Source organism: Homo sapiens, chromosome 5 (assembly GCF_000001405.40).
Source record: "Homo sapiens chromosome 5, GRCh38.p14 Primary Assembly".
NCBI lineage: Eukaryota > Metazoa > Chordata > Mammalia > Primates > Hominidae > Homo > Homo sapiens.
The window spans coordinates 32,211,167-32,221,896 of record NC_000005.10 but is presented as its reverse complement, the minus strand read 5'-3'; the positions used below and the strand labels follow the sequence as shown (position 1 = coordinate 32,221,896).

The 10,730-nt window shown below is 45.6% G+C and overlaps 1 annotated feature.

The window, feature by feature from the left end:
• Positions 10,133 to 10,292: a silencer, noted in NCBI's record as "silent region_15954". NCBI's record gives its function as "represses an Ori minimal core promoter by ATAC-STARR-seq in GM12878 lymphoblastoid cells {active_cell/tissue: GM12878}" and the evidence as "EXISTENCE:reporter gene assay evidence [ECO:0000049][PMID:35858748]".

The window sequence follows — 10,730 nt, the reverse complement described above, 5'->3', positions numbered from 1 at the left end:
CGGAAATTTTGGGCTGTTAACAAAAGTCCAAGGCTCCCGCTGTCATTGTAAAACACCACTGCTGGGGAGGTGGTGGTGATGGAAGCAGGGAGCTATAGCTCTGCCTGCCTCTAACTGCCAGAAGCTACTGACACCAGAAGGACATCACCATTGCCGAATGGCCAAGTTGACTTAGGTCAATCTATGACATCCTACCAGATTTACTGGAAATTCTATCATAATTACATTATAGTTGATTTACTGGATATTCATGGTTATATCTGGGGGCCTCCTTGCTCATTCCTTAGAGCTGTGCGGGAGCCCAGGGCATATGAATTCTGCTGGTGGCCTTCTGTCCACCATGGCTGCTGCCTAGGAGCTCTTTGCCTGAGGTCTATATGTGTTAGTTTGGATTCCCCCAGAAGCAGGCTCTGGATCAAGGATTTGGGTGCAAGTGGTTTATCTGGGCAGTGTTCCCAGGTACCACTGTGAAATGATGGGGAACGGAGAAAGGGAAAACAAAGAATAACAGATACAGTAAGGAACGAGTGATTACTGTGGGCAACTGGGGCCAGCCCCCTGGGGACTCCCGAGAGACCATGTGGAGCATGTTTGGAATAGTCCCACAGAAGAGTGAGGAAGCTGGGGTACTGACAACAACTCCTCTCCCCACTAGTTGAGGGCGGGTTGCTCCTGGGAATCTGTTGGTGTGTGCAGGGACTGCCAGAGATGTGGGCAAGGGACCGCCTACTGCAGTCCATAGGGTCTGCTGGGAGATGGACAGCCTTCCTGCCACAGCAGTTTGGGGACAGCATCTCTGACAAAGCCGCCAAGCCAGGCACCTGGCTGGCTTGGTCTAGCCTAGCCAAGCACACTGTGTAACAATCCCCCACCCAGGGGCCAGGCCTCTGCAACATGCAGTAATGCCCAAATATTTAGCTGCTCATTCAAGGGGGTGGTACATCAAAATAAGAAAACAGCCAGGCGCGGTGGCTCACAACTGTAATCCCAGCACTTTGGGAGGCTGAGGCAGGCAGATCACCTGAGGACAGGAGTTTGAGACCAACCTGGCCAACATGGTGAAACCCTGTATCCACAAAAAATACAAAAATTAGCCGGGCATGGTGGTGGGTACCTATAATCCTAGCTACTTGGGAGGCTGAGACAGGAGAATCGCTTGAATCTGGGAGGCGGAGGTTGCAGTGAGCTAAGATCGTGCCACTGCACTCCAGCCTGGGCAATGAGCTGTCAAAAAAAAAAAAATTCCGTCTCAAAACAAAAAAAAAAATAGTATCATGGCTAGTTCAGGGCCTTGTATTTTTAAAGCAATTGTGTCAACAGGCTATCATTTTTTCAGTCAAGGCAGAATTTTTAAATGTGGGGCTGATAATTTTCGGTTTCCACAAATTCTAAGTAATAGTCTCCCTCTTCTTCTCTGAGGCAGCTACAGTTTCTTACCTGTTTATTTTGAAAGGGATTACAGTGGCTCATGCCTGTAATCCCAGCACTTTGGGAGGCCAAGGCAGGTGGATCACTTGAGGTTGGCAGTTTGAGACCAACCTGGCCAACATGGCAAAACCCCACCTCTACTAAAAAATACAGGTCGTACACAGTGGCTCACGCCTGTAATCCCAGCACTTTGGGAGGCCTAGGCGGGCGGATCACGAGGTCAGGAGATCGAGACCATCCTGCCTAATACGGTGAAACCCCGTCGCTACTAAAAAATACAAAAAAATTAGCCGGGTGTGGTGGCAGCCGCCTGTAGTCCCAGCTGAGGCTGAGGCAGGAGAATGGTGGCAGAGCTTGCAGTGAGCCGAGATTGCATCACTGCACTCCAGCCTGGGCGACAGAGTGAGACTTGTCTCAAAAAATAAAAAATAAAAAAAAATTAGGGGCCGCGCGCAATGGCTCTCGTCTGTAATCCCAGCACCTTGGGAGGCTGAGGCGGGTGGATAACCTGAAGTCAGGAGTTTGAGATCAGCCTGGCCAACATGGTGAAACCCCGTCTCTACTAAAAATATAAAAAGATTAGCCGGGCGTGGTGGTGGGTGTCTTTAATCCCAGCTACTCCGGAGGCTGAAGCAGGAGAATTGCTTGAACCCAGGAGACGGAGGTTGCAGTGAGCCAATATGGTGCCACTGCACTCCAGCCTGGGTGACAGAGTGAGACTCTGTCTCAAAAAAAAAAAAAAAAAATTAGCCAGGCGTGGTGGTGCGTGCCTTCCTGCAGTCCCAGCTACTCAGTTGCAGTGAGCCAGGATTGCACCACTGCACTCCAGCCTGGGCAACACAGCGAGACTCCACTTCCAAAAAAAAAAAATATATATATATATATATATATTAGATTCCCAACATTTAACCATTTTGAACCAATACGACACTGCCAACATTTGACCACTCTTTACTACAAAAATGACATTTTCATGTGGTTCAAATTAAACATATGAATTTGAGGTGGGACTGGGATATTGTTTACACCACATCTCTTTATCTTGCTTTTCTCAGTCTGCATTGTCTCATGGAAATTGCTCTGAATTGAGGTGGAGTTCTAATACATTTATTTATTTATTTATTTATTTTTATTTTTATTTATTTTTTTGCTCTGGCACCCAGGCTGGATTGCAGTGGTACAATCAGGGCTCACTGCAGCCTCAACTTCCCAGGCTCCAGCGATCCTCCTACCTCAGCCTCCTGAATAGCTGGGACTACAGGCGCGCACCAGCACGCCTGGCTCGTTTTAGTATTTTTGGTAGAGACAGGGTTTCACCATGTTGCCCAGGCTGGTCTTGAACTCCTGAGGTCAAGCAATAGCCCCCTCCTCGGCCTCCCAAAGGGCTGGGATCACAGGCGTGAGCCCCCGCGCCCAGCCTCTAGTGCATTTTTCCATAGCTTCTCAAAGGGCACGTGCAGGGAATTGTGACAGTCTTGTCTCAAGCCCATTCCTCACTAATGCTTTCAGCTCCCTCCTACCTCAACAGAAACTGCCTGATTTCTCCCCAGTCCTGCCTGTGCCTCCCCTTTACGAAGGGGAATAATTTTTAGATTCGCAAAGCCTGGGGGCCATGTCTAAATTGCCCTTCCTATTTCTACCAGGGAATCGAGTTTCATCCTGTCTTGGGGCTTCTGGGTATGGGGCTGATTTTCCAGAACTCTTGAAGATTTGACCCACACCGCCCCTTGCCTCACAGGAAATGGCAAAACTAACTAGATGATTATGTGATTCAATCCTTAATGTGGAGTTTTTATAAAATTAAAAAAAAAAAACCCACACAGTGCCTTGAATATACAGAGCACCTCTCCATTCATCTCAGTTCAAGAAGTCCTGCCAAGCCTTTGAAGTACAGTAACATTCTCAAATGTGCACCCCCCGCCCAAAATCGTTCACACTGCAGAACACTATTCAGGAAAGAAATGTTTCGTGATTTTTTTAAAAAAAATGAGTGAAAAGCCAAGAAATTAAACAGCCTCTGTTTATGGCAGGTGGTAAGAAAAATGTAACGTAACACATACCCTTCCCTGCCTTTTGCATAACCAGTTTGATGCATAGTTCTACTGTGCGAGCAGATTCAAAACTTGCTGGTTTTCTTCGTAATAACATAGCACATGCCAGGGAATAAGGGCTCAGTGTGTTCTAGGCACAAGGAGAACTTATTCTGGACTGACTCAAGCAGAAAGAAGCCAAATTGTCAAGACAAAGAGCAGCTTAGACGCGTGAATTCCAGCGCGACAGCCATGGCTGCTCTGTTCAGAGATGTAGTTCTGTGGTTAGGCCCCAACGGCTCGCCTTTTTGGGTATTCCTCTACTTAAATCAGGTGGTTGAAGGTATTCGTGGCTCTCAGAAAGGACAGGCTGGGGAGAGAGAAGTTGTCCCGCAGCTGCAAGTTTCTTTGAGGCCTCTCTTTCCATTTTGGCTGCTGGCCAAATACTCATTTTAACTAGGGACCTACTGTAGGACACAGAAGTGATTGCCCCGGCGTGGTAGCCCTGCTGTCTACTTTTCACTCAGTAAATACATGCTGAAGAAGCTAATTCAGGAGGTTGAATTTAAACCATTAGGTTCGAGATTTGTTATATTATTATAAAAAATCATCTTTAATATTTGTGGATAGAGCCATCACCAGAGATAAAAAGGGCAGTTTGGGCTGGGCATGGTGGCTCATGCCTGTAATTCCAGCACTTTGAGAGGCCGAGTGGGGAGGATTGACGAAGGCCAGGAGTTCGAGACCAGCCTAGGCAACATAGCGGGACCCCCATCGCTACAAAAACAAAAACAAAATTAGCTGGGTGTGGTGGTGCAGGCCTGTAGTCCCAGCTACTCCGGGAACTGTGAGGTGGGAGGACTGCTTGAGTCCAGGAGATCGAGGCTGCAGTGCACAGAGATCGCACCACTGCACTCCAGCCTGGGGGACAAAGCAAAACCCTGTCTCCCAAAATAAAAACCAATAAAAAATAGATAAAAGGGCAGTTTTATTAATAAAGAGGATAGGAAAGAAACTCCTCCCGAGCCCTGCGGATCTAACCGAGCACTGTCAAGGGAGGCTGTGTCTCCTGCTCCTCTCTCCGCACCAGTCCAGGCTCCATGGCCCCATGGCCCACCATTCTCCCGCAGTCCCACCTGTTCCGGGGGAAGTCTCGGCCTCCTTCTCCCCACACCCAGGCCCTATACCTGTGCCCCCCACCCTCCCAATCCCCCCCTCCATTATCCCTCAGGAACCTTTTGCTTTCTATTATGTTCTGTCTCCCAGTCCTTTGGTCTCTACAGACCCCGCCCGTTCAATGTGCCCTGGTCTAGCCTATCTCAAAACAAAATGAATGCCTGGATCCTACCTTCCTCTTCAAGCTACACTCCCCACCCCTATTCCCTGTCTTTATCAGCCTGACAGACTTATTATTTATTTATTTATTTATTTATTTTAAGAATAATCTAGCCAGATGCAGTGCCTCATGCCTGTAATCCCAGCACTTTGGGAGGCTGAGGCTGGTGGATCACTTGAGGTCCGGAGTTCGAGACCAGCCTGGCCAACATGGTGAAACCCTGTCTCCACTAAAAATACAAAATTAGCCAGGTTTAGTGGTGCATGCCTGTAATCTCAGCTACGTGGGAGGCTGAGGCAGGAGAATTGCTTGAACCTAGTGGGTGGAGGTTACAGTGAGCCAAGATTGCGTCACTGCACTCAAGCCTGGGCAATGAGAGTGAAACTCCATCTCAAAAAATAATAATAATAATATTTTTATGTGTTTATTTTTAGAGATGGGGTCTTGCTATGTTGCCCAGGCTGTACTTGAACTCTTGGGCTCAAGGGATCTTCCCAGCCTCCTGAGTAGGTGGGACTACAGACACGCACCATTGCGCCTGGCCAGCCAAACTCCTTAAAGCAGTGGTCCCCAACCTTTCTGGCACCACAGACTGATTTCTCAGAAGACAATATTTCCACAGACCAAGGAGGAGCAGGGGTTGGGTTGGATGGTTTCAGGATGAAACTGTTCCACCTCAGATCATCAGAGAATCATTAGTTAAGATTCTCATAAGGAGCGTGCAACCTAGATCCCTCGCATGCACAGTTGACAATAGGGTTCCCGCTCCTAAGAGAATCTAATGCTGCTGCTGATCCGACAGGAGGCGGAGCTCAGGCAGTAATGCTCCATCACCCTCCCCTCACCTCCTGCTGTGCAGCCCAGTCCCTAATAGGCCACGGGCTGGGGGTGCCTTAAACAGTCACCTTCATTTGGGTTTTCACTGCCCCATGTCACACTCACTTGTCAGTCCACTCCAGGCCACCAAACCCAAAGGACAGTGTTCAGGACAAGTTCTCAGCTTTTCTGTCAATTAGAACTGAGTGTGACAAACCAGGAAGAAGAGAATAGACACGGGAAGGCTCCTGTCAACGTCTGTCAGACCCAGCTTGGCTCCCTCTGTGGCCAGCTCTGTGGGCCACTGCCTTCTTGAACGCCTCTCTTCTCCTGATCTCCATGATCTTGTACTTCCTGGTTTCCTTTCCGTCCCTTTGGCTGCTCCTTCTCGGCCTCCCTGGGAGAATGGTCTTTCTCCTGCCCTCCGTCGGTCTCTGTTCACTCTTTATTTATTTTTTTTTTTTTGAGACAGAGTTTCGCTCTTGTTGCCCAGGCTGTAGTGCAGTGGTGCCATCTCAGGTCACCGCAACCTTTGCCCCCCAGGTTCAAGTGATTCTCTTGCCTCAGCCTCCCAAGTAGCTGGGATTACAGGGATGCGCCACCACACCCAGCTAATTTTGTATTTTTAGTAGAGACAGGGTTTCTCCATGTTGGTCAGGCTGGTCTTGAACTCCCCCCAACCTCAGGTGATCCACCTGCCTCAGCCTCCCAAAGTGCTGGGATTACAGGCGTGAGCCACCCCGCCTGGCTGTGTTCACTCTTAACCCTCTTCCTGGGGGAGGTGGCCTTCATTACCTCGTGTGCACAAATGACCTCTAAATTCTTACCTCCTGCCTATACACAGATGACCAACAAATCTCATCTCCTGCTTCGACCCATATCACAAGACTCAAATGTCTAAAAGCACTGCAAACTCAACACATCCAAAATTAAACTCATTTTATTCTCTCCAAACTGGCTTCTCCTTCAGAACTCTGTGTCTTATAAAATGTGTGTGCCGTTTGCTCAGTTGTCTAAACTAGAGATCTGGGAACTATTCTAGATGTCTTGTTTCCCCTCACTCCCTAGCCCTAATTGACCCCCAAGGTCCACTGAGTCCACCTGCTGCCTGTCTTGAGTCCTTCCACTTCTCTCCATCCCACTGTCACCACCCTGCGCCCTGCCGTCCTGTGCTGTCACCTGGACTCCTCTATCAACTTCTCTGATTGCATCCTTCCTGTTTCTCTCCAATCTGAGCCCCACTTTGCAGCCAGAATCTTTCTAAAATGCCAACCAGATCATGCCACTTACATACAATTCTTTAAGGCCTCTAGTTGCCCTTAGGATAAATGTGACTCCTCAGCCCCTCAGGTCCCAGCCTAATAGGACCCTTCATCACTAGGCCCCTGCCTGCTTCCACATAAGAAAAGCAATGATTAGAAAAAGCTTGAGAAAGGAACCCAAGGATAGAAGCTATGGTGCATTGTTCAGCATCAGTTTTCAGGGAAGTGAAGGGGGTCTCATGGTAAAGCAATGTAATCAGACCTTGGCTTTGACCTTGTACTTTATCTCAACTTTTATATTAACATAATACTAGTTTTATTATAAATATTGTATCTAGTTTATTGCAGCACTATTTATAATAGCAAAGACTTAGAACTAACCCAAATGCCTATCATGATAGACTGGATAAAGAAAATGTGGCACATATACACCATGGAATACTATGCAGCCATGAAAAAGAATGAGATCATCTCCTTTGCAGAGACTTGGATAAAGCTGGAAACCATAATTCTCAAAAAACTAACACAGGAACAGAAAACCAAATACCATGTCATGTTCTCACTCATAAGTGGGAGTTGAACAATGAGAACACATGGACACAGGGAGGGGAACATCATACACTGGGGCCTGTTGGAGGTTGGGGGCAACGGGAGGAAGAGCATTAGGACAAATACCTAATACATGCGGGGCTTAAAACCTAGATGATGGGTTGTTAGGTGCAGCAAACCACCATGGCACATGTGTACCTATGTAACAAACCTGCACATTCTGCACATATATCCCAGAACTTAAAGTAAAATAATAACAATAATAAACAAACAAAAGATTTGGGAACCAAAGAACTAACTGTTGGGACCTTCAAGATGCAGACATTTAATTTTATATGTGTCAATGAAGCATGCATGAAAAAGACAAAGATGAAACAGTGTGTAGTATTAGGAAAAATTGTCAATATGACCCAGGAAAATTCACAAAAAGAAAAGAGAGAAACTGATTATTTGGTTTGTACTGAAGTGGACTAATTATGGGTTATTTATATAAACTGCCAGTCATGTCTAGTTACCCCATGGCAAAACAATGATTATCATTAAACATTAAACCATTAAAAATAAATAAATAAATATTTTATCTATTGAGTACCCCTATTTTATTTATTTGTTTATTTATTCATTTTAAGAGATAGGGTCTTGTCATGTTGGCCAGGGTGGATTCAAAATCCTGGGCTCAAGCAATCCTCCCACCTTGGCCTCCTGAGTAGCTAGGACTATAGGTATAGTCTAGCTATGCACCTGGCCAGCAAAACTTATATTGATGTCGTTTCTCTTGCAGTAAGTATCAAGAGGGGAATTTGAAATACCCATTTTTTGACTAGATATTACATATAATTACTTGAGTATTTTAAAAAGCAGTCCATGAAAGGTGCATAGTACAATGTTGGTCATAGGGAGTGCTTAGTAAACGTTGACTTTTTTTTCTAAAAACTATTTTTATTTCTAGAACTACTTCCTTGTGTTTGGGTAAATGGTAAAGGAGAAAGAAAGAGTGGCTTTTATCAATGATCAGTTTTCAAGGAAATTACATTATGCAAATACTTTATTCTTTATCTCATTTAGTAGAAATCAATATCGCCCCTCCATGTTAGCCATTTTTTCTTTCCTATTAATTACATCACAGATCTTATTCTCAGAAATAGATCAAATCAAACTGAATTTGTCTTTGCACTCATACTACAAGAATACATTTACAAAAATCTCATAAACACAAATCGTCATAATCATAATAATTATATTGTGGGCCAGGCGCAGTGGCTCACGCCTGTAATCCCAGCACTTTGGGAGGCCAAGGTGGGTGGATCACAAGGTCAGGAGTTCGAGACCAGCCTGGCCAACATAGTGAAACCCCATCTCTGCTAAAAAATACAAAAAATAAGCCAGGCGTAGTGGTGGGCACCTGTAATCCCAGCTACTTGGGAGGTTGAGGCAGGAGAATCGCTTGAACCCAGGAGGCAGAGGTTGCAGTGAGCTGAGATTGTGCCATTGCACTCCAGCCCAGGCAATAGTGTGAGACTGTAAAAAAAAATAAAAATAAAATAATAAAAAAATCATATTGTGAGGTATATTAACTGACATAAGAAAATGTCCATAATATTTTCTTTTTTTTACATTAAAAAATGTTTGTGGGTACACAGTAGGTATATATATTTGTGGAGTACATGAGATATTCTTTTTTTTCTTTTTTTTTTTTTTTGAGACAGAGTCTCACTCTGTTGCCCAGGCTGGAGTGCAGTGATGCGATCTCTGCTCACTGCAAGCTCCACCTCCCGAGTTCAAGTGATTCTCCTGCCTCAGCCTCCAGAGTAGCTGGGACTACAGGTGCCCACCACCACGCCCAACTAATTTTTTGTATTTTTAGTAGAGACAGGGTTTCACCGTGTTAGCCAGCATGGTCTCCATCTCCTGACCTCGTGATTCACCCACCTCGGCTTCCCAAAGTGCTGGGATTACAGGCATGAGCCACCGCACACGGCTGAGATGTTCTGATACAGGCATGCAATGTGAAATAAGCACATCATGGAGAATGGGCTATCCATCCCCTCAAACAGTTATCCTTTGTGTTACAAACAATCCAATTAGACTCATTTAAAAATGTGCGATTAAGTTATTATTGGCTATAGTCACCCTGTTGTGCAATCAAATAGTATGTCTTGCCACAATATATTCAGTGAAAAAAGTATGAATTTAAAAATCATGGCCGGATGCTGTGGCTCACACCTGCAATCCTAGCACGTTGGGAGGCCGAGGCGGGTGGATTGCCTGAGCTCAGGAGTTCAAGACCAGCCTGGGCAACACAGTGAAACCCTGTCTCTACTAAAAATACAAAAAATTAGCCAGGCCTGGTGGTGGGCACCTGTAGTCCCAGCTACTTGGGAGGCTGAGGGAGGAGAATTGCTTGAACTCGGGAGGTGGAGGTTGCAGTGAGCCGAGATCATGCCACTGCACTCCAGCACTCCAGCCTGGGCCACAGAGTGAGACTCTGTCTCCAAAAAAAAAAAAAAAAAAAAAGTCAAAATTCTAGTTTAATTTACATAAATGCATGGAAAAGTAGCAGGAAAACATTCCCAAATGTTAAGATAAGTTATCTCAAAGCAATGGATTTATTGGTCATTTTTTTCTCCTTTTTATATATTATTTTATTTTTATTGACACATTAGATGTTCATATATTTGGGGTTATATATATATATATATATATTTATTTATTTGAGTTGGAGTCTCGCTCTGTCACCCAGGCTGGAGTGCAGTGGCTTAATCTCAGCCCACTGCAACCTCTGACTCCCGGTTTCAAGCTATTCTTCTGTTGCAGCTTCCTGAGTAGCTGGGACTACAGGCACCTGCCACCACACCCAGCTAATTTTTGTATTTTTAGTAGAGATGGGGTTCTCCATGTTGGCCAGGCTGGTCTCAAACTCCTGACCTCAAGTGATCCACTCGCCTCAGCCTCCCAAAGTGCTGGGATTACTGGCATGTGCCACCACACTCGGCCTCTTTATATATTTTTTAATTGAACTTTTTCCCTACAATGAACTTGTGAGTTAGCTATTGATTTTTTTCCCTTTGGTTGCGAAAGAGAGAAACCCAAATTGATTGTGCTTTAACCAAAGGGGGAAGTTGTCATAAGGATCCTGTTCTATCTCAGAAACTCAATGACAGGAAATAGCAGGGCCTCCCCAGTTACTGGAACCAGAAATGCAAATGCTGCCTACGTTCTTTCTCCATCTCAGGGGCTCCTCTCAGTTTGTTTACTCTGTTTCCTCCCCACTTTCTCTCTGGATCAGTTTTCTCTGGTCCAAGTGAGGGA